Here is a 23,679-nt window from a genome sequence, read left to right as displayed (position 1 = left end):
GAAGGCAAGCTTGAGTGAACTTCCTCTTCCTTGGGCAAACCTCTCTTCATACTAGGACCTGTTTCTCCCCTTAGAAAATGATTCGGTGGAATATCCACCCAATGGACTTTATTCGGCCATGAAAATAAAAGAAATACTGAAATATGTCACAGCACAGATGAACCGCAAAAGTATTATGCTAAGTTAAAGAAGCCAGACACAAAAAGCCACATATTGTGTGAGTCTATTTATGTGAACTATCTGGAAGAGGCAAATCCATAGAGACAGAAAGCAGTATAGTGGTTGCCAGAGACTGAGGGGATGGGGAGTTGGGAAGTGACTGCTTAATGGGCATGGGTTTCCTTTCGGGGGTGATGCATATGTTCTAGAATTAGATCATGGTGATGGTTGCATAACATTGTGAATTTACTAAGTGCCCTTGAATTGTACAGTATAGTTAATTTTATTATGTATATTTTACTACACACACACACAAATGCTAAAATGCCTCTCTGCAACTCCTCCATTTTTGTGTGTAATCCCTTTTAAGGGTGGTGTCTAAGAAAACAAACTTTTTAAAGTCCTAACTGGAGAGTACAAATAAAAAGATTACATTTCAGCTGGCCAGAGTTAGAGGTCAATGGGTAGAAGACATGACCAAGAGTAAGGCACTAGATTTCATTCTTTCAGATTTTGTTTAGCACCTACTATGTGGTAAGTTCTGTGCTATGGGCTGGAGATGTAGCTGCAAGGGCATTTCAGATGCAGCCCCAGTCCCTAGGAAGCTTGAAGTCAAGCTAGTTTTTTTCATGATTTTATGAGAGCGGAGAGTGAATTGATTCTTTCATCTTCATTTGACAAACAAAAGGGGTGATAATAATACCTCATTATATGTACCTTTCTAATCCACAGAGATTGGAAAGACTCAATGAGAAATGCATGTGAACATAATTTGTATTTTATAAAGCAATATACAAAATATTAGGCAATAATATTATCATAGTTTAATGTTGACTTTTAAAAAATAATAGCCCTGCATTTTCAATCAGTTAAGAAACTGGTGTGATTGTCTCTTTATAAAATTTATTGGTGGGAGGGGGGAGCAGGCTTCCTATTACAAATGTCATATGTGTTCATTGGAGAAAATTCAACAAATCCAGAAAAGCATATTTTAATCAAATGTTATCTTCCCCCCAGATATAGCCACTGTTAACATTTTAGTATATGTTCTTCAGCAGTGATAATCATTGGGTTAAGAGCAAGGACACTACTAGAGACAGGTTCTGTCATTTCCTAATTATTTACCTTGGGAAAGGCATCTCACAACTTTAAGTCTCAATTCCTTATCTGTAAAGTGGAGGAAATAACAATAGCTAACTCCTAATTATGAGGATTAGATAAGGAACTCAATGGATATTACTCAGCAAAGTGCTTACTAATACATACTATTAATAGAATACATATATTATATACACAAATACTAGTATACATAATGTATACATGCACAGTATCTACATAACATATATATTATATACATAATATACATGCATGCTACTTAAATACATATATACTATGTACTTAATATATACATACTAGCAGTATACATAACATATACATACATACTGATTAAATATCTACATGATAATTATATACATATATATCATAAGTATGTCATACACACACACACACACACGGTATAAAATTTTGTTTCTTATTAGTGAGGCAGCAATAAACACATCTATCTCAATCAGTGCCTTAGCTCATTAACTACTTAAATGAGCCTCCCAAGTGTATTATAATGAAACTTAATTGAAATAAAAGTGTTCAACCCCTTCAAAGAGTAGACTTCATAATCTATGTACAGACGTTTCTGATTTTTGTGCTGTTTATCATTCTTTGCCTTGTAGTAGGGTGAAACAACTAATATTAATATTTTGACAGATGGCCCCTGGGTTCCTCTGGGAGAGAACTATTTTTGTGGAATAGAACTCTTTGCTACACATAGAAGATGACCTCTCGAGGGCTGGATATGAAAGGACAGTGAAACAAACTGAACAAACCTCACAAGAATAATCAGAGTCGGGGGAGGTGGGTAGGGGGCAGGCAGAATGGAGGAGCCAGGAAGAAAAGATAGCAGGGTAGGTAGAAAGACGGAGAAAGGGGACAGGAATAAAACAGCGTTCTGGGTTCTGATGAGTTTGAGAATGAAAAATTTCCAGAAGTGAGCTCACCAAGTGGCACATTTTTTTTTTTAACTTTTTTTTTCTCTTTTTTTGAGACGGTGTCTCACTCACTCTGTCGCCCAGGCCGGAGTGCAGTGGTGTGATCTCAGCTCACTGCAACCTCTGCCTCATGGATTCAAGTGATTCTCATGCCTCAGCCTTCCGAGTAGCTAGGCCTACAGGTGTGTACCACCACACCCGGCTAATTTTTGTATTTTTAGTAGAGACGGGGTTTCATCACATTGGCCAGGCTGGTCACCTCAGGTGATCCACCCACCTCAGCCTCCCGAAGTGTTGGAATTACAGGCATGAGCCACCTCGCCCAGCCTAGCAAGGGGCACTTAAGAACACAAATTCCTCATCCTCCAAGTTAATGTGTGTGTTGCTGAAATGTGTGCATCATCCATTTCTCTATAAGTTCTGTGCTCATAAACAACTTAGTGAACAGATTTGGGGCACATCAAGGAAAAGGACTGAGTTCTACATCTTGGCTGGTATCTAGCAAAGAAAATAATATATCCATGGAAAATGAGATGTGAGATTAAGATTTTTAAATTTTATTTTTAATTGATACATAATAATTGTACATATGTGGGAAACAGTGATATTTCGGTACATGTATACAAGATACATGTATACAACATGTAATGATCAAATCAGGGTAATTAGCTCATCCATCACCTCAAACTTTTATCATTTATTGGTTGGAAACATTCAAAATCCTCTCTTCTAGCTATTTGAAATATGTAATAAATTATTGTTACCTATACGTCACTCTTCAGGGCTAGAGAATATTAAAACTTATTCCTTCTATGTAGCTGTAATTTTGTGTCCATTAATCCACCTTTCCCTATCTCCATTCCACTTTTCTCAGCCTCTAGTCACCACAATTCTCCTCTTTACTTCTATGAGCTCCACATTTTTAATTCCTGTGTATGAGTAAGAACATGTGATGTTTGAGATTAAGGTTTTATTATGAGCAGAAACTTAGAGCCAAACTAACCATGAGACTATGAGCTCTTCCAGTAGGATGAATAGTGTCCCTCAAAAATTCATGTCCACCTGGTACCTCAGAATGTGACCCTATTGGGAAACAGGGTATTTTGTAGATATAATTAAGGATCTCAAGAAGAAATCATCCTAAATTTAGGATGATGTCCTAAATCTAGCAGCTGTTCTCCCTATAAAAAGAGAAGAAGATGAAGTCAAAGAGACACAGACAGAAGAAGGCCCTGCATAGATGGAGATAGAAAGTGGAGTTATGCCACTACAAATCAAGTGGCTTGGCCATCAGAAGCTGGAGAGGTAAGGAAGGACTCTTTCCTGGAGCCTTCGGAGGGACTGTGGCCCTGCTGACACCTTGAATTCAGACTTCCAGCCTCCAGAACTGTTGGACTATAAATTACTATTGTTTTAAGACGCTCAGTTTGTTGAAACTTTGTTATTGCAGCCATCGAAAACTAAGACAGCCCCTGAAAAGTTGCCAGAATCTTAGGGTGGGCATCAAACTTTCCATAGGACAGACAACCCAAAGAAGAAGCTGAACTCCTTTAATTTTCAAAGGACAAAATTTCATTCTCTTTAATTTTCATCCTTCAAAGGATGAGGTGACCTCAGCTGTCATCTAGGTTACTTTATATAGAGACAGAAGCAGAATCGTCTTTTAACTAAAAACCTTACTATGAGCTTTCCAATCACCTTCCCTGACCAAATTGAAATTCCCTGATCAAACAGACTTCTTTTTTTGTTTGTGTCCCATCAACTACAGTACATATGCAGCCTCCCTGTCCAGCTTCAATTTTTGGTAGTCCAATTATTCATTTTGATATGGTTTGGCTGTGACCCTGCCCAAATCTTATCTTGAATTGTAGCTCCCATAATCCCCATGTGTCCTGAGAGGGACCTGATGGGAGGTAATTAAATCATAGGGGTGATTTTGCCCCTTGCTAGTCTCGTGATAGTGAGTAAGCTTTATACAGGGCTTCCCCCTTCACTCAGCTCTCATTCTTCTCTTCCCTGCTGCCATGTGAAGAAGGACATGTTTACTTCCCCTTCTGCCATGATTGTAAGTTTCCTGAGGCCTCCCCAGTCCTGTGGAACTGTGAGTCAATTAAACCTCTTTCCTTTATAATTTACCCAGTCTCGGGCAGTTCTTTATAGCAGCATGAGAACAAACTAATGCACATCTCTTGTATTTTAAGCTTTAATAAAGTAATATCGAATTCTGAAAATGTCATATTGTTTGCACCTCCATGCCTTTGATTATACTGGGCACTCCTTACTCACCATCAGTCAAGTCTACCTGGTAAATGCCTACTCACTCCTACTCACTCTTCAAATGCTACTTTGGGAGGCTTTACTCCTCCAGTCTGACATCTCCATCTACCACAATGTGAGATATATATATATCTCCAAAGCAAGTATTTTATTTGCTTATTATTATAACTGTTTTCTGTCTTCTCAGAGAATATTCTTGAGGTCGTGGAATATGGCTTTTCATCCTTGTAGCCCAATGCTAGCACAGTGCCATCATGCTAGGCTGGTTTTATGTAGTGGCAAGTAGACTAGAATTGAAGTCATAAAACCCAGTTTGAATCCAGGCATCTCCATGATCGTCTGCGTGGTTGTGGTGGATACTGGTAATGAAGTTAGTCCTGTTTTCCCTACTAGCAAAATCCCAATTTTATTCAAGTGTGTGATGAGATGAAAGAGATTCTTCCATCTCAAGGAGAGTGGACCCAGCCACTAACCCAGGGATGGAAATTATAACTCACCTCTAGACAGTGAGAAGTAAGAGGAAGTCTGTGGGGTTACCAGAAAAGATATCTCTTCCATGATGAGAGAAAGATGTGAAGAAAAGCCCTCTGGGCTGAACTTCCTCTGAGTGGGTGTATGGAGATGCAGTAGCCTTCTCACATCTCTAAGAGGAAAGTCAAAACAATCAAAAGCCGTGTACCTTGAGCCATGATTTGAAAACTGACTTGACTGTGTAGCCACTGAGCCAACACCAGCAATGCCCTCCACCCAATTTTATGTTATTTGAGAGAAATTAACTCATATTTGTTAAAGGTTTCTGTTACCCAAGAGAAGCTAACAAACTTGAAGCTAAATTCACTTTTGTCTAATATGGTAACTTTGAATAACTTAAGTCATTAACCTCTCTGAACTTCAGTTTCTTATTTTATAGAAATGTGGCTAATAATCCCTTCCTACCACCTTTGGTCATTATAAGGTTCAAATTTAAAAATATTCAAAACCTCAAAGTAATGCATGCATTTAACAATAAGAGATTACATTTATTGCATATTCCATGGGTATTCTCCTAAGAGCTTTCCTCTTATTATTTTATTTAATCGTTACAATAATCTATCAGGTGTTATACGGAAGAAATCTTTACCCAACCCAAACACACAAAGATTTTCTCCTATGTTTTCTGCTAAAAGTTGTATACTCTTCAGTTTTACATTTACATATGTGATTCATTTTCAGGTAAGTTTTGTATATGGTGCAAGTTATGTTTCAAAGTTCATATTTTTGCATATGGATAGCCCAATTGTTCCAGTACCTTGTTGAATAGACCATCCTTTCTTCACCCTTGTTAAAAAGGGTAGGAAAAAACACACATTTTCTCCATACTTACACATTTCTTGGAATATAATAGTCTTTATATGCATGGGTCTATTTAAGGGGTCTTTTCCGTTCCATTGATCTGTTATCTTTACCACCCATCTTGCTCACTATAGATTTATAGTAAGTCTTGAAGCCAGGAAGTGTAAGTACTTTAACTTTTTTTTTTTTTTTACAAAGTTGTTTTAGTTATTCTAGTATATTTGCATGAATTTTAGAAATAGCTTATCAATTTATACAAAAAATTCTGTTGGGATTTTTTAGCAGGATTGTATTGAATCCATAGATAAACTTGGAAAGAATTAATATCTTAACAATATTGATGCTTCCCATTCATGAACATGGTATATAGCTTCATTTATTTAGGTCTTCTTTGGTTTTTCTCAGAAATGTTTTATAGTTTTCAGTTTATAGATATTGTACATCTTTTGTGAGATTTATCCATAAGTCATATTTTAATGCTTATATAATTGATAATTTAAAAAAAATTTTAATTTCCCATTGTTCACTGCTAGTATTTACAAACACAATTAATTTTATATATTGACTTTATATCCTGAAACTTATTAGTTCTGGTACCAGTTTTTGTAGATTCTTTCAGATTTTCTTTGAAGATGATCATAGTCACCTGTGAATTAGGATAACTTTGATTCTTTTTCTCTTCCAAAATATATGTCTTCTATTTCTTTTTCTCACTGATTGCCCTGGCTAGAACCTTCAGTACAATGTTGAAGAGAAATGAGAATGGACATCCTTGCCTTATTCCTAGTATGGGGGCAAAACATTCAGTTTTTCACCATTAAGTATGATGTCAGCCACATAATTTCTTTCAGATTTCCTCTAGTTCTAGTTTTTATTATGAATGGATGTTGGATTTCATCAGATACTTTTTCTGCATCTATTGAAATGATCATATGACTATTCTTCTTTAGTCTATTCATATGCTAAAAATACATTGAATAATTGTCAACTATTAAATCAAATTTGCAGTCCTCATCTAAACCCCACTTGGCATGATATTTTTGTTTTGTATGGTTGAATTGAAATTGTTAAAATATTATTAAGAATTTTTTCATCTATGTTCATGAGGGATTTGGCCTTTTTTTTTTTTTTTTTTTTTTTTTAGATAGAGTTTCGCTCTTGTCACCCAGGCTGGAGTGCAATGGCACAATCTCAGCTCACTGTAACCTCTGCCTCCTGAGTTCAAGCGATTTTCCTGCCTCAGCCTCCTGAGTAGCTAGGATTACAAGGGCCTGCCACCATGCCTGGCTAATTTTTTGTATTTATAGTAGAGATGAGGTTTCACCATGTTGGGCAGGCCGGTCTTGAACTCCTGACCTCAGATAATCCACCTGCCTCGGCCTCCCAAATTTCTGGGATTACAGGTGTGAGCCACCATGCCCGGCCAGTTTTCTTTTTTTAATAATATCTTTGCCTATCTTTTGTATCATAATTCTGGCCTCATAGCGGGAGAAGGAAATTATCCCTCCTCCTTTAGTTTTCTGGAATATTTTATGTGAAATTGGTATTATTTCTTCCTTAAATGTTTAGTAGAATTTGCCAACAAAGCCATCTGGGCTTGAAGTCTTCTTTATGATGATTCAAATTTATTAAAATTGTATTTCTTTAATAGATATAAGGTAATTTTGTTATTTGTGTCTTCTCTCTTATTTTCTGTATTGGTCTAGTTAAACATTTATCAGTGTTATTGATATTTTCAAAGAACAGGTTTTTTCCTGTTTGCTCTTTGTTGTTTATTTTTTTCTGTTTGCTATTTCATTGATTTCTGTTCTGATATTTATAATTTCCTCTCTTCTAATACTTTTTACTTGTTCATTACTTCTACTACAGACTTTCTTATGCTACTTATATTTTTGTCTCCTCTTGTTTTTCCAGTTTCTTAACATGGAAACCAAGGTCACTGATTTGAGACCTTCTTTTCTTTAATATAGGCAATTAGCACTATAAATTTCCCTCTAAGTACTGCTTTCACTGCCCCTACAAATTTTGATATGCTGTGTTTTGATCATTCAGTGCAAAATACATTATAATTTTCCTTTTTATTTATTCTTTGACCCCCTAAGTTTTTTTTAGAGGTGTGTTACTTAGTATTCAAATATTTGGGTTTTTTTCCAGTGTACTTTCTGTTATTGATCTCAAATTTAATTTCACTGTAGTCAGAGAACATGATTTAAGTCCTTTAAATCTACTGAGATGTATTTTATAATTCAGAATGCCTATCTTACTAAATGTTCTGTGTGTACTTGAAGAGAATGTATATTCTGCTGTTGGTGGCATGTTCTATACATATCAATTAAGTCAGGCTGGCTAGGCACAGTGCTTCATACCTATTATCCCAGCACTTTGGGAGACCAATGCAGGAGGATCACTTGAGCCCAGGAGTTTGAAACTAACCTGGGTAACATAGTGGGAGCCAGTCTCCACAAAAAATTAAAAAGCTAGGTGGGCATGGTGGTGCATGCCTGTACTCTCAGCTATTTGGGAGGCTGAAGTGGGAAAACCACTTGAACCTGAGAGGTTGAAGCTGCAGTGAGCCATGATCATGCCACTGTACTCCACTCTGGGTAACAAAATGAGACCCTGTCTCAAAAAACAAAAAAATTAGGTCAGGTTGGTTGATAGTATTGTTCAAGCCTTTTATAACTTTACTAATTTTCTAACTATTCTATCAACTATTGCTAAAGGGGTGTTGAAATCTTCTAGTATAATTGTGATGTATCTGGTTCTGTATGTTTTTGCTTCATATATTTTGAAGCTCCATTATGGGTGCATAAACATTTAGGATTATTATGTCTTCTTGGTGAATTGACTCCTTCATCATTATGAAATGATCATATTTTTCCCTGGTTATATTTTTGCTCTGAAATCTACTTTATTTATTACTAATAGAGCCACTCCAGCTGTCTTTCATTATTGTTAACCTGATACATCTTTTTCCACATTTTTACTTTTAAACTATTTATGTCTTTATAGAGTATGTTTCTTCTAGGCAGCATATAGTTGAGTCTTACTTTTATATTCAGTTGGAATATCCCTGTTTTTTAATTGGAGTGTTTATTAGTTGTCAATTGCTCTTAAACATAGTATATTAAAACAGCAAATATTTATTCTCTCACAGTTTCCGTGGGTCAAGAATGCAGGTACAACTTGGATGGATACCTTGGTGTTGGGGTTTCTGATGTGGAATGAAATTTTTAATTCAATCAAGTTTACTAACTGGGAACGTTTACTAACAGTGGAAATGGCAAGATACTCTAACACCCTTAGAAAGCTTCAGTGTGAGCATGTAACCTTGACTCAGTCAATTAGATGCACCCACTGGATCTTTTACTTGGGACAGTAAAAATTTCTGTTTTGGTGGAACAGGCAGCAATCATATCCATTATTCAGAGGCAGTAATGCCATGGGGACAGCAGTGATATCCAGAGTTCAGGGCTGCTGCACCAGTTGGTGAAGATTGGTACCAGCAGTGCTCGCCTCTCCCTGGACTGAGTCTGTGGCATGATTTTGGCTGTGATTCTTGCTAGCTATCCTCCCATTGTTGCTTACTAACAGTGAGCTGTTGTTTTCTCTATTTTTGTAATGTTCCCTGTCTTTATCCTTAACATCACATCTGGTTGTAAGCTCTTTCATAATAAGGATTCTTTGGTTCCAAGCACCAAAATTTATTCTGGTTTATCAAGCAGAAAAAAATATATACATTAAAAAGGTATTAGTTGCATACAGAATTGAAGGAAAGTCTGCAAACCCAGGCTGGGAAGGGAACAGCATTCAGGGTAGTTCCGGAGAACTAGATAGCAGAAACCAATCTATGGCCCCTAATTAGATACTAACTCATCAGGGTTCCAGCCCTGAAAGGGGTCAGTGCCAACTATTTTCTTTTCCTATCAATTAACTCAAAATTGCTCTAGTCTTGCTCACTGGCCTGCCCTTTGACTAGAGGAGAGAAGCATGCCTTGATTAATGGCTGCACCAAGGGCCCACAAAGTGGGGAGACATAATTCACTAAAAGGACAGCATGGTGCTGTTGTCTAAAAAGGCAGGGGGAGAATAGAGATTCGAGATTTAAAACACACACACACACATATTTTAAACCATACCAATACAATAAATGATTAAATGTACAGATACAATGTTTTAAATAAATATATAATCCTTGGTATCTATTATTTTGTTCTTAATGATCAGACTCTCAGAAACAAGTCGGTGTTCATTCTGGTTAAGAAAAAAGTTGCAGAATGACCTTCTTAACAAGATAAATGGGCTCTTAAAGGGTGAACCATGAGTATTTCTATCTATGGCCCAAGAGGGACAAAAGTCAATGCTACAGGTGCCTGGAGTCACTGCAAGACAATAGGCATCCTTGATTGTTTTACAAGAGTATGGCACACTCTGAAGTGTGGGTCAGAGAGGAGAATGCAGCAGGCAGGTAAGTATCACACGTTTATTTTTCTGTTTGCAATCTCAGGTAGGTTAGCAGAAATTAAATTTTGCAGTAACTTACCTAAGGCTATTAAGGGATCATTTGGTTTTCAAGGATTCAGTAAATTTTCTTAAAGCACTTTGGTTCCATTTGGGAGGAAAAAGTAGCATGGGAATATTTTAATCACAGTTCTGGAGCATGAAATCTGATTTAATACGCAAAGGTCACTGCACTGTTTTATTGTAGGGAACATTTCACTCCATGTTAAGAAGAAGTTACAGGGTAAAATGAACTGCAATTGAGGCGGCTCTGTATTGTGGTCTGCTATTTAGACTGTCTGTCCTCCATTACGTTGTTTGTACTGTACTAAAGAGTTCTGGAATGAAACTGCATGACAGCTGTTTCCCCTGAGACTGCTCTGGAAATAAGATATACATCTCATGTGTCTCTCCCAGCAAAAAAGCATTTGAAATAAATAAATATTCCATCTGTTGCCATCCATCTGAATTTTCTAATCTCTTCTGCTTTCTCTGTGCTGGTCCCACATTGTGTACTTGGTGTCAGGTGGTTGAAGGGCTGTCAGAGTGTCCTGGCAGGGCTCTGACATTGTAGACTTTTCAAATCTTCTTTGTTGGATGTTATGGCAATGCATCTTTTTTGTGTACTGCTTTGAACGAACCTGTGAAAGCCGTTGTCTGAAGGAAGTTATCAGTCCAGGATTTGGAGAGAAAGCTTCTGGAAGGAAGTTACATTTAAGTTGGATCATATAGGACAGGCAGGGTTCTCTGGGAAAAGTGAGGGCAATGGGGGTGGGAAAGAGGAGGACTCTGTAAATAGGGGTTCAGCTTGTGCTTGGGACTGGCAATGAGAGGCCTCTTCTGAAATCTTCAACGGCCCAGTGTGTGTGTATGTGAGTGTATGCATCTGTATGAATGTGTGTTAGTGTGTGTGTATGTATGAATGTGTGTCTGTATGAATGTATGCATATGGCTGTGTTTTTGTATGTGTATGTGTGAGTTTATGTGTGAATGTATATGTGTATGTATATGCATTTGTGTATTGTGTGGTTATGTGTGAATGTATGTGTATATATTAGTGTGTGTGAGCATGTTTGATGTGTGTGTGAGTAGTGTGTGTGTGAGTAGTGTGTATGTGAGTGTGTGGATGTAAATACATGTTTGGGATTGTGTCTAGTGTCATGGAGGCTGGCAAAATATGAGGCTAAAAAGGTAAGGCAGAACTTATCTGGATCTTACACGGTGATGTCTGTGGTTTTAGTTCTTTGCCCATAGAATAAAACCTTTTCCGCCCACCACCACCCCTACCCAGTGGACAAACGAGGCATTGGAACTGGCTTCAAATAGCAACCCTTTTAGGCATCACTTTCAGGCATATCTTGCCAGCACTTGTTTTAAAATCAGACTTTAAAATCAGGTTGCCTTGTTTTAAAATCAGACCAGCCCACTCATTCATTTTGAAGTTCAAAACTTTGAGCTTCCTTGCTCCTCAGAGCAATAGTTGTGTGCTCCTTCTCTTTGTGACAGTGTGTTCCAGCCCCTGTGGGTCTCACTTAGTGGAATTCTGCCCCTTTGGTTAAAGAACTGACTATACTATGGAACTGTAATAGGTTGATTTCTATATGTTCTAATTTATTGAATGTTTTTGTATTCTATATATAATGTGTCCGCTTTTAATTTATAGAATAATCATATATATACATATCTTAATTTATAGAGCTATTCTATCTATCTATCTATCTATCTATCTATCTATCTATCTATCTATCTATCTATGTCCATCTCCAAATGACAACAACAAAAACTCACAATCAGTTGTCTTGTACTTACACAAAATCTTTGATTAAATTTTTGGCAGGTCAGTGGTGCTTAGAAACAAAAAGGTTTTTCCACACCTGCTACAGATGCTATTACTGATTGCCTTGCTCATAAGGAGAGTTATGTTCCTTTCCTTTCATTTGCCTTATTGGGTTGCAAAAGCAATCTGCAACATTTTCCTGAAGCAAAAGGGCAAGACTTCAAGGGATGCCTGGAAGTTCTAACTACAGCCTGGTTCCCTTTTATGCCCCGTCTTTGTTTTCCCCTTTTGTTCTTCACGTATTTCTAATGTATGCTATCTTGTTATTTTACGTACCCTTGTAACACCCCTGAAATCCTTTCTGAGACAAGGTAGAATATAAATTTTAAACAATAAATTGTGTGAAAAAATATGAAATAAACCATGTACCACATATTTAAGAAAAACATACTGTTTTTCAGCATTATGAGGTATTTTAGCTGATTTTATAGTTAAGGGCTTGAGGCTGAGAAAGGGGGCACACTACCAGGTCCCTGGGATGCCATTCCTGTATTTCCATCACAGTCTTCTATGTAGATGATTTTCCTTTAGAATTAGGAAAAATGTCTGCAAACATCCCAAAGTAAATATCTTAGAAAGAAAAGTCAGCCCTTCACACCATTCCAATTCCTTAGGGAATCAATGCTTTGCAGTCAACTCCAACCCCAGACAAGAAGCGGGGCCAACATGATGCTAAGACCTCCAAGGAGAGCAAGACCCCAGTTCTGTTGTGGTGGGCAGCCGCCAGGCAGCCAATCGACTCCTCAGTCTGGGCTGCTTTTCTGTTTACCACCAGGTGACAGGAGGAAAATAATCTCCTTGCCCTCCTGTCAAGCAGGTTCAGAGAGGGACAGAAAGAGAGGGAGTTTGAGGTCGGCTCTCTGAGCCTGGGAGATGAAGCAGTCTCTTACAGGGCTGCAGGGTGGCCAGGGAGCAGCCATTAGGAGATGGGTGTTCATTCAGATTATGAGATAGGGCAGAGCTTAGGGGATGAAGCTGTAATGTAATCATCAAAATATTGCTGTTGTGAGACAGGCTGGTTTGAAAAATTACAGGGCAATTAGGAAAAGGGTTCTATTCCTTCCTAAGGATTAAGACCAGTGCTTCTAAATGTAAACACTCTTTTGTTTTTAAAGGCAAAAAATGTTATCTTGGAAAGGAAAAAATACATTCCTAGATCTTAGGTTGAAAAACACTGATTTCGATTGTACTTTCTCTAAAAACCAATGTGTGTCCTTGGGAGAGGAGTATGTATATATGCATGTGTATGTGTGTGTGTGGTGCAGTGTATGAATGTGTGTGGTGTATGTGTGTGTATCTGGATGTGTGTGTAGTGTGTGTGTGCGCGTGCACGTGCATGCTTGTGCATCCTACCACAACTGATTCCCTTGTTGGCAATAATTTCTTCTCTATCAGAAGTGGCGGTAGTGATGCCTCTCACTCATATGCTCCACGAAGGCTGTCACAGAGGATACCCTAGCACATGCAGATGACTACCCCTCCCAAGCCCTGGTTCCATCCAGAAGTGAGGTGAGCCATCAATGAGACAGGACCATCCACTGGGCAGGAGTGATAAGCAGGTGGAGGGCTCCAAAGCCAAGAGCAGCCTGTATGTTATTGGAGAAAGAGTTGGCCTTAAAAGAGAGAAGAAAACTGACGTTGGAGCTGCAGAAACACATCTCCTTTTAGGTACAAAGCAAGGAAGGCAAAGACAGTGTGTCTGGGCATTTGGGGAGGCAGGTCTGCCTCTTGGTCAACAGGTGGGAAGACATTTTGGCCTTCACTCTGATGACAGAAATGAGGGGTAGGGATGCAAACTAAGGTGTTTCTGCTCTTTCTGCTCTATTTCTATGTTGCTCTTCTACAAAGTGTGCCCTAGACAGTCATGATAAATAGAGCTTTTCAAAGTGGAATTTTTATAGGAAATATAAAAGAAAATTAGGTATATCAATATTCCATTCAATGACATAGCCTGAAGATAAAAACCTGTTGAAAAAAATTATCTCCTAAAAAAGTTACATCTAAAAAACATAAAACAGTAGTGTACGCTAATGTACTTAGAAACCACCTAGGCATCTTGTCAAGACAACTGGTTGGGTAGGTCTGGGCTGGGGCCTGAGAGTCTGCATTGCTAATGAGCTCCTGGCTGATGTCAATGTTGCTGGTCTATGGACCACACACTTTGAAGAGCAAAATTTTAGTATGTTTTCCAGTCTCAGGTTTTTAAAAAACTTTACTCTTCAAATTGATTATCTAGTGGATTCAGAGTACATACCTTCTTCAGAAGTCTTTGTCTTTCTCTGTTGTTGTAGAATGTTCTTTATTTTATATTTGCAATTATTAATAATATAATATCCAACATGAATTAAGTACTTAGCACATGCCAGGGACTGTTTTAAGTACTTTATTTGTATTAGCTAATTTAATCCTCAGAACTTTATGAGGAAGCTATTATTACCCCTGTTTTACAGATAGGAAAATGGAAACAGAAAGTATATTTCTTGTTCAGAGCTACATGTACAGTTTTATTATATAGGTAAATTGCATGTCACAGGGGTTTGGTGTACAGATTATTTCACCACTCAAATAATAAGCATAATACCTGATAGGAAGTTTTTCAATCCTCTCCTTCTTCTCACTCTCCACCTTCAAGTAGGCCCTGGTGTCTGTTCCCTTCTTTGTGTTTATGTGTTCTCAATCTTTAGCTCCCACTTATTATTTGTGGTATTTGATTTTCTGTTCCTGGGTTGTCTTGCTAGGGATAATGGCTAAAAAGGATGTGATTTTGTTCTTTTTATGGCTGTATAGTATTCCATGCTGTATGTGTACCACATTTTCTTTATCCAGTCTGCTCTTGATGGGCATTTAAGTTGGTTCCATGTCTTTGCTACAGTGAATATTGCTGTGATGAACCTATACATGCATATGTCTTTATGGTAGAACAATTTATATTCCTTTTGGTATATATCCAATAATGGAATTGCTGGGTCAAATGGTAATTCTGTTTTGTTATTTGAGAAATCACCACACTGCTTTCCACAACAGCTGAACTAATTTACATTCCCACCAGCAGTGTATAAGCATTCCTTTTTCTCTGCAACCTCACCAACATCTGTTATTTTTTTACTTTTTAATAATAGCCATTCTGATTTTTGTGAGATGGTATCTCATTATGCTTTTGATTTGCCTTTCTCTAATGATCCATGATGTTGAACATTTTTTCATGTGCTTGTTGGTCATGTGTATGTCTTCTTTTGAAAAGCATCTGTTCATGTCCTTTGCCTACTTTTTAATGGGGTTATTTGTTTTTTGCTTCTTACTTTGTTTAAGCTATTTATAAATTCTGGATATTAGAATCTATAAGAATATAGATGCTTAGAATCAGATGCATAGTTTGCAAACATTTTCTCCCATTCTATGCCTTGTCTGTTTACTTTGTTGATAGTTTCTTTTGCTATGCAGAAGCTCTTTAGTTTAATTAGGTCCCATTTGTCAATTTTTATTTTTGTTGAAATTGCTTTTGGCATCTTCATCATGAAATGTTTGCCAGGGTCTATGTCCAGAAGAGTATTTCCTAGGTTATCTTCCAGAGTCTTTATAGTTTTAAGTTTTACATTTAAGTCTTTAATCCATCATGAATAGATTTTCGTATATAGTGTAAGGAAGGGGTCAGTCCTTTGCATATGGGTAGCCAGTTACCCCAGCACCATTTATTGAATAGGAGGTCCTTTCCCCATTGCTTGTTTTTGTCAACTTTGTCAAAGATCAGATGGTTGTAGATGTGTGGCATTATTTCTGGGCCCTCTAGTCTGCTCTATTGGTCTATGTGCCTGGTTTTGCACCAGTTTCATGTTTTTTTGGTTACTGTAGCCTTTAGTATAGTTCGAAGTCAGGTAACATGATGCCTCCAGCTTTATTCTTTTTGTTAAGGATACCCTTGGCTATTCAGGCTCTTTTTTGGTGCCATATGAATTTTAAAATAGATTTTTCTAATTCTGAAAAGAATGTCATTGGTAGTTTGATATGAATAACATTGAATCTGTAAATTGCATTGGCAGTATGGCTATTTTAACAATATTGAATCTTCCTATCCATGAGCACAGAATATTTTTCCATGTGTTTGTGTCATCTCTGATTTCTTTAAGCAGTGTTTTGTATTCTCATTGTAAAGATCTTTCACCTTCCTGGCTAGCTGTTTTCCTAGATATTTTATTCTTTTTGTGGCTATTATGAATGGGATTGTATTATTGATTTGGCTCTCAGTTTGGATGTTGTTGGTGTATAGGAATGCTACCAATTTTTGTACATTGATTTTGTATCTTGAGACTTTCCTGAGGTTGTTTATCTGATCAATGAGCTTTTGGGTAGAGGCTATAGGATTTTCTAGGTATAGAATTATATCATCTATAAACAGGGATAGTTTGACCTCCTCTCTTCCTATTTTGGAAGTCTTTTATTTCTTTCTCTTGCCTTGTTGCTCTGGCTAGGACTTCCAGTACTATGCTGAATAGGAGTGGTAAAAGTGGGAATCCTTGTCTTGTTCCAGTTCTCAAGGGGAATGCTTCCAGCTTTTGCCTGTTCAGTATAATACTGGCTGTGAGTCTGTCATTAGATGACTCTTATTATTTTGAGATATGTTCCTTTGATGTCTAGTTTTTTGATGGTTTTAACATAAAGGGATGTTGAATGTTATTGAAAGCCTTTTCTGCATCTATTGAGATAATTATGTGATTTTTTGTTTTTAGTTCTGTTAACGTGATGAATCACATTTATCGATTTGCCTATATTGAACCAACCTTGCATCTCAGGGATAAAGCCTGCCTGATCATGGTGGATTAGCTTTTTGATGTGCTGCTGCATTCAGTTTCCTAGTATTTTGTTGAGAATTTTTGCATCTATGTTCATAAAAGATATTGGTCTGAAATTTTGTTTTTTATTGTTGTTGTGTCTCTGCCAGATTTTGGCATCAGAATGATGTTGGCCTCATAGAAGGCCCTAGGGAGGAGTCCTTCCTCCTCAATATTTTGGAATAGTTTTAGTATGAGTGGTACCAGCTCTTCTTTATACATCTGGTAGAATTCAGCTCTGAATCTGTTGGGTCCTGGGCTTTTTCTTGTTGGTAGGCTTTTTATTACTGATTTAATTTTGGAACTCATTATTGGTCTGTTCAGGCATTCAATTTCTTTCTGGTTCAGTCTTGGGTGGTTGTATTTTCCCAGAATTTATCCATTTCTTCTGGGTTTTCTAGCTTGTGTGCATAGAGGTGTTTGCAGTAGTCTCTGAGGGGTTTTGTATTGCTGTGGGGTCAGTGGTGACATCCCCTTTGTTATTTCCAAATATGTTTATTTGGATCTTCTCTCTCTTTTTTCTTTATTAGCCTAGCTAGTGGTTTATCTGTATATAATGCTAATTCTTTTCAAAAACCCAATTCCTGGATTCGTTTTTGGTTTTTTTTTTTTTTTTTTTTTTTTTTGCATCTCAATTTCCTTGAGTTCAGCTCTGATTTTGATGGTTTCTTGTCTTCTATGAGCTTTGGGGTTGGTGTGCTCTTGTTTCTCTAGTTCCTTTTGGTGTGCTGTTAGGTTGTTAATTTGAGATCTTTCTAACTTTTTGATGTGGGTGTTTAATGTTATAAACTGCCCTCTTAACACTGCTGTAGCTATGTCCCAGAGATTCTGGTATGTTGTAACTTTATTCTCATTAGTTAAAAAAATTTCTTTTCTTGATTTCTGCCTTAATTTCATTGTTTACCCAAAGTTCATTTAAGAGTAGGTTGTTTAATTTCCATGTAATTTTATGGTTTTGAGCAATTTTCTTAGAATTGATTTCTATTTTTATTGTGTTGTGGTCTGACAGGGGATTTTTTGAATTTGCTGAGGATTGTTTTATGTCCTACTGTGTAGTTGATTTTAGAGTATGTGCCATGTGCAAATGAGGGAAATGTATATTCTGTTGTTTTGGGGCAGAGAGTTCTGTAGATGTCTATTAGGTATACTTGGTCAAGTGTCAAGTTTAGGTCCTGAATATATTTTTTAGATTTCTGCCTCAATAATCTGTCTATTACTGTCAGTGACGGTGCTGAAGTCTACCAGCATTATTGTGTCCCTTCATAAATCCCTTGGATAATACCAGCATTATCCAAGTTCCTTCATAGATGTCAAAGAACTTGGTTTATGAATCTGGGTGCTCCTGTGTTAGGGGCATATATATTTAGGATAGTTAAGTCTTCCTGTTTAATTGAACCTTTTACCATTATCTAATTCCCTTCTTTGTCTTTTTTGATCTTTGTTGATTTAAAGTCTGTTTTGTCTGAAATTAGAATAGTAACCCCTACTTTTTTCTCTTTTCCATTTGCTTGGTAGATTTTTCTCCATTTCTTTATTTTGAGGCTATGAGTATCATTGCATGTGAGATAGGTCTCTTGAAGAGAGCGTACTATTGGGTCTTGCTTCTTTATCCAACTTGACACTCTATGCCTTTTAAATGGAGAATTTAGCCCATTTACATTCAAGGCTAGTATTGATATGTGTGGATTTGATCCTATCATCATGTTGTTAGCTGCTTATTATGAAGACTTGTTTGTGTGGTTGCTTTGTAGTGTCAATGGTCTATGTAGTTAAGTATGTTTTTGTAGTGGCCAGTAACAGTCTTTCCTTTCCATATTTAGCATTCCCTACAGGACCTCTTGTAAGGCAGGTCTGCTGGTAACAAACTCCCTTAGCATTTGCTTGTCTGAAAAGGATCTTATTTCTTGTTTGCTTATGAAGCTTAGTTTGGCTGGATATGAGATTCTTGGTTGGAATTTCTTTCCTTCAAGAATGCTGAATATAGGCCGCTAATCTCTTCTGGCTTGTAGGGTTTCTACTGAAAGGTTTGCTGTTAGCTTGATGGGGTTCCCTTTGTAGATGAACTGTCCCTTCTCTCCAGCTGCCTTTAACATTTTTTCCTTTGTTTTGACTTTGGATAATCTGATGACTGTGTGTCTTAGGGATGGTCTTCTTGAGCAGTATCTTGCAGGGGTTCTTTACATTCTTGAATTTGAATGCCAGCCTCTCTAATGAGTTTGGGGGAATTTTGAATGATATCCTGAGATATCTTTTCCAAGTTGCTTGCTTTCTCCCTCTCTCTTTCAGAGATGCCAATGAGTTGTACATTTTGTCTCTTTACATAATCCCATATGTCTCGGAGGCTTTGTTCATTCTTTTTTATTATTTTTTTCTTTATTTTTGTCTTATTGAGTTAGTTCAGAGATCCAGTCTTTGAACTCTGAGAGTCTTTCCTCAGCTTGGTCTATTCTGTCATTAATACTTGTGATTGTATTATGAAATTCTTGTAGTGTTTTTTCCAGCTCTATCAGATCAGTTTGGGTCTTCTTATGATAGTCATTTTGCCTTGTGACTCCTGTATCGTTGTATTGTAAGCCTTAGATTACTTGGGTGGGGTTTTGACTTTCTTCTGAAACTCAATGATCTTTGTTCCTGTCCATATTCTGAATTATATTTGTCATTTCAGCCATTTCATCCTGGTTAAGAATGCTTGCTGGGGAACTGGTATGGTCCTTTGGAGGAAAGAAGACACTCTGTTTTTTTTTGAGTTGCCAGAGTTCTTGCACTGATTCTTTCTCATCTGTGTGGGCCGATGTTCCTTTAACTGTGGAATAATTTGAGAATAGTCAGTTGGCTTCTTTTTGGGATGTTTTCAGAGAGCTGCGGCTTTGTGTGGGGTCTTTATTTGCAGCTGAATTATTGTCCTTAGTTTCACAGGGGAGTATGTTAGCAAAGTATTTTTGGTGTTGAAGTTTGAGCTGTAATCTAGTAAATGGCACTTATGTGTAATGGCTAATACGTAGTTTCTTGCCCAGCCACGTGTCTTCTCTGTATTTCCTCACAATTGCAGCCACACTTCCTCTCAGTGGTCTGAAAGTGTGAGCTTTCCCCACTAGAATGCTGGCTGCAGATCTTGGCTTAGCAGTCCCAGGCTGCACACCGCTGTCCTGCAGTGAACTCAGGCTTTATGTTCCCTCCCAACCTTGGAAGCATCAGGGGAAGAGACCTTGGCAGTGGCTATGGCAGAGGGCCTTTCACTTGTCTCTTCACCCCAGAGATATGCAGAGCTGCTGCCAATCAGTGTGATATTCCTGGGGGCTGGGGAGTCTGTTGTGGGCCCAAGCTGGGGGACTCTGCCTGTTGACAGGCAGAGGATGTGGGGGACTCATGGGGAAGACAGACTAGCCTCTTCTCCTTAGGGAGGCTGTGACTTGCTGGAGGTGTGAGTAAAGCATTTAGGGTCTTTGTTCCTTCCCCAGTTTGAGGGCAGCAAGGGCAGTACCACTGCAGCAGCAGTGGCAGAGGGGCTTTCAGTTGCCTCTGGGAACTCCACCTCAATGGAGAATGCTGAATATAGGCCCCCAATCTCTTCTAGCTTATAGGGTTTCTGTTGAAAGGTTTGCTGTTAGCTTGACGGGGTTCCCTTTGTAGATGAATTATCCCTTCTCTCTAGCTGCCTTTAACATTTTTTCCTTGGTGTTGACTTTGGATAATCTGATGACTGTGTGTCTTGGGGATGGTCTTCTTGTTCAGTATCTTGCAGGGGTTCTACTGCTACTGGGAGGGTTCAGCCAGTGGATGGGGTGGCTGCACTGCTGGCAGGGGCTGGGGCCCCGCCGCTTAGTGAAGAGCAGGAGGTCAAGCGCTCACAAGGAGTAGAGACGAGGCTCCTCTCGGTATGGAGACTGTGGTATGCCAGAAGTGCGAGTAAATCCCTCAGGCCCTTTGTTCCCTCCGTAGCCCAAGGGCATTAAGAGTGGTACCACTGCAGCTGCAATGGCAGAGGGGCTGTGGGTTCTCTCTGGGATTTTCTCCCCAAGGAAAGGCAGAGCCACCACCAACTGAAGTATTCAGGTGGAGGCAGGGTGGTTGTGCTGAAGTCCCAGGTCTAGAGGCACTGCCCAGTGAGGAGTGGTGGGGGCGGGGACCTGTGTGGAAAACACTCTGACTCCTTTTCTGTAAGGCAGCTGCACTGTGCTGGGGGCACATGTTAGTTCCTAATCAGTGTGCTCCCTCCCTAGACCGAAGGCAACAGGAGCGAGGGATGAGGGATGCCAAACAACAAAAATGTTGGCCTATATGCTCCCTCCGGGAGCTCCGTCCCAGGGAAGTAGCCACTACCCGAGAGCCCAGGCTGCGAGTGCCTGGAGTCTCAGGTCTGGAGGCCCTGCTCAGTGAGGAGTATCGAGGGGTGGGAACCCACCTGGAAAATAGTCTGGCCGCTTTCCTGCAAGTCTGCTGCCCTCTTCTGGGGGTCCACGTTGTCCCTAATCACTGTGCTCCCTCCCTGGCCCAAGGGCAACAGGAATGAGGGCTGCAAAGCAGCAAAAATGGCGGCCTGCCTGCTCCCTCCAGGAGCTCCATGCCAGGGAAGTGCAGAGCTACTCCTGGCCCGACAGCCCAGGCGGGGCTGGGGTGGCTGCACTAGGTTCCTAGGCCAGTGGGCCCCACCAAGCAAGGTGCAGCACAGATGAGGCCCGCAGACCATCTGCTGCTCAGCCCCATGGGATTCGATCCCTGTCCTGGGGGCATGCAAGGCAGCCTGGCCTCCCCCATTGCTAGAGATGCAGTCACTGGTGCCAGGATGCTTGGGGATTCAAGGCTCCCAGAACTCTGCAATGGTCTGAGCAAGTGGCTCTGCCCAAACTCCACGGAGCTCTCTGTGTCAGTGCAGTGGAGGCTCTGTGCCACTCCCAGGTGGGCGGTTGTCCTCTCTTGCTCCTCTCCATTCTCTATGGGTTGAGTTGTTTCCTTTATGAATCCCAGTGTCCACCTGGATGGTCCAGTTGGAGAGAGTGATGTTCCCTTGCCACTCCTTCTCTCCATGAGAGTGGTGCTCCCATAAAGTGAGCCTTATTTTAATCTGCATTTACAATTCAAACATGACAGGTAAGTCTATTGATAATCATTTTGAAAATAAAATGTAGAACTTTTCTCCTACTGAGACAGTCTATTAAGCCACAGTTATCTCTATTTTGGAGGTTAAGTACCAACAACTTTGACTGACTGAACCAGATAATTTAGGAAAAGTATCTAACCTTATTTCAGCCCACACATTTATGGGATAAGCCATAAAGTTTCTAGATGATCTCCGGTTGTCACTCTTTCTTGGTAGGGAAAAAGAATGCAGATTCAAGAGATATTTTCCAGCATTAAGCTCACGTATCTAGTGTTTATATGTTGGGTGAAACCAGCCCTGCCATTCAGACCACAACAATGCAACCAAAAATTAGTGGATAAACCAAAAGCATACACTCATCAGCTCCACTGAGAGAGAACAACCACCTCTCAAACAGCCTGACCTGGGAAGTTTGTCCAAAGGGTGGTTCTACGTGAGACAAGGTAAGGGATCCCTATCAAGTCTTTTCTTTGGGGACTATAAATACTAATTATGAAGTGAAGTTAGGTCTCATAATGCCAGGCAGCATTATGTGGTATATTTTTCCATTTTGGAAGGTCTAGAACAAGGAGTATTATGGCTTGCTAAAAAAGATCATATTCCTTATCATGTATCCTTATCATGAATCCTCATTACTGAGAGTAACTGAGTCAAACTAATACTCTGTACTAACAGAATTAGTTGGGTTATATTCCGTCCCTCGCTTCCTGCTACCCTTTGTACTCAAGTAAACTAGAATAACATACTATTCAATTAATATAATTCTGTTTGGAATTGCTTCATGCACTAAATTTCCCCTATATTTGTGCAAGATAAGTCGGAATTTTCTCCTATTAATGTGCTAAATTTGGTGGAAAATGTAAGGTGTTTATAAGGTCACTTAGCCTCTCAGTGATGTAGCCAGCAAAATGTGAAAGACAATGTTTTTAATTGCCCAGAAATACATTCTGGCTCTGGCAACTTAATTCAGAAAAGTCCTCTAATGATTATGAAACAATAGTACACATTGCAATACATCAGCTTAAAAAGACAGTACGAAGGAAAGACAATTTACAATTTCCAGATCTTTTCTAATTCAATGTCTACAAGCTTCTAAAAGTCTCTAATAGGGTCTCTATAGGACAAACTTTTAAGTGCATTTTTTGTTTGGTTGTTTTTTTTTTCTAGTTCCCTGAGGGAAAACACTATCATCCCTTTGTCGTCATTAAAGGATATAAGGTCACTGGGTAGCATCATATTTGCAATAAAATGAAGTTATTATGTTAAATGATTTAAGCATAGTAATATAAATCTAGGTTTTATTTTTTAACAACTCAGTCATGACTGTCTTGTTTTTTAAGCTATGACCTCCTCCTTTTCTTTTTGTTCATTCTTTCTGAGTTAAAAGTAGATCCAACTAGGAAGAGTTTGTCATTGCCTGGTTACTAGTCAGCAAGATCACCAAGATACAGGCTTAAAGTTACCTAAAAGACCAACGTTCAAGTGCCTTTATGTAGATAGATTTTCAACATTGACATTGACTACGTCATACTAATCAGAAGCTTTGATAGGCAGTTATATAAACTTTGATGAATTTTTAAAGGGGCAGGAGGAAGTCATGAATGTTTA

The 23,679-nt window shown here is 38.7% G+C and overlaps 1 long non-coding RNA gene across 2 annotated transcripts in view, besides 1 other annotated feature; it reads left to right on the top strand.

Annotated features, from left to right (window-relative positions):
- The window catches only part of LOC124906112 (uncharacterized), a 204,201-nt gene that overhangs the window by 98,389 nt on the left and 82,133 nt on the right, over positions 1–23,679 (top strand). The window lies entirely within an intron of this gene.
- Positions 20,843–21,763: an enhancer, noted in NCBI's record as "H3K27ac-H3K4me1 hESC enhancer chr2:200919369-200920289 (GRCh37/hg19 assembly coordinates)". NCBI's record gives its function as "activates a minimal SCP1, AML or CMV promoter by ChIP-STARR-seq in naive and primed H9 embryonic stem cells {active_cell/tissue: H9 hESC(naive and primed)}" and the evidence as "EXISTENCE:reporter gene assay evidence [ECO:0000049][PMID:30033119]".

Source organism: Homo sapiens, chromosome 2, assembly GCF_000001405.40.
Source record: "Homo sapiens chromosome 2, GRCh38.p14 Primary Assembly".
In the NCBI taxonomy this organism is placed as follows: Eukaryota; Metazoa; Chordata; class Mammalia; order Primates; family Hominidae; genus Homo; species Homo sapiens.
Note: the sequence above shows the minus strand (reverse complement) of the source record. Positions and strands in the feature narration are given on the sequence as shown.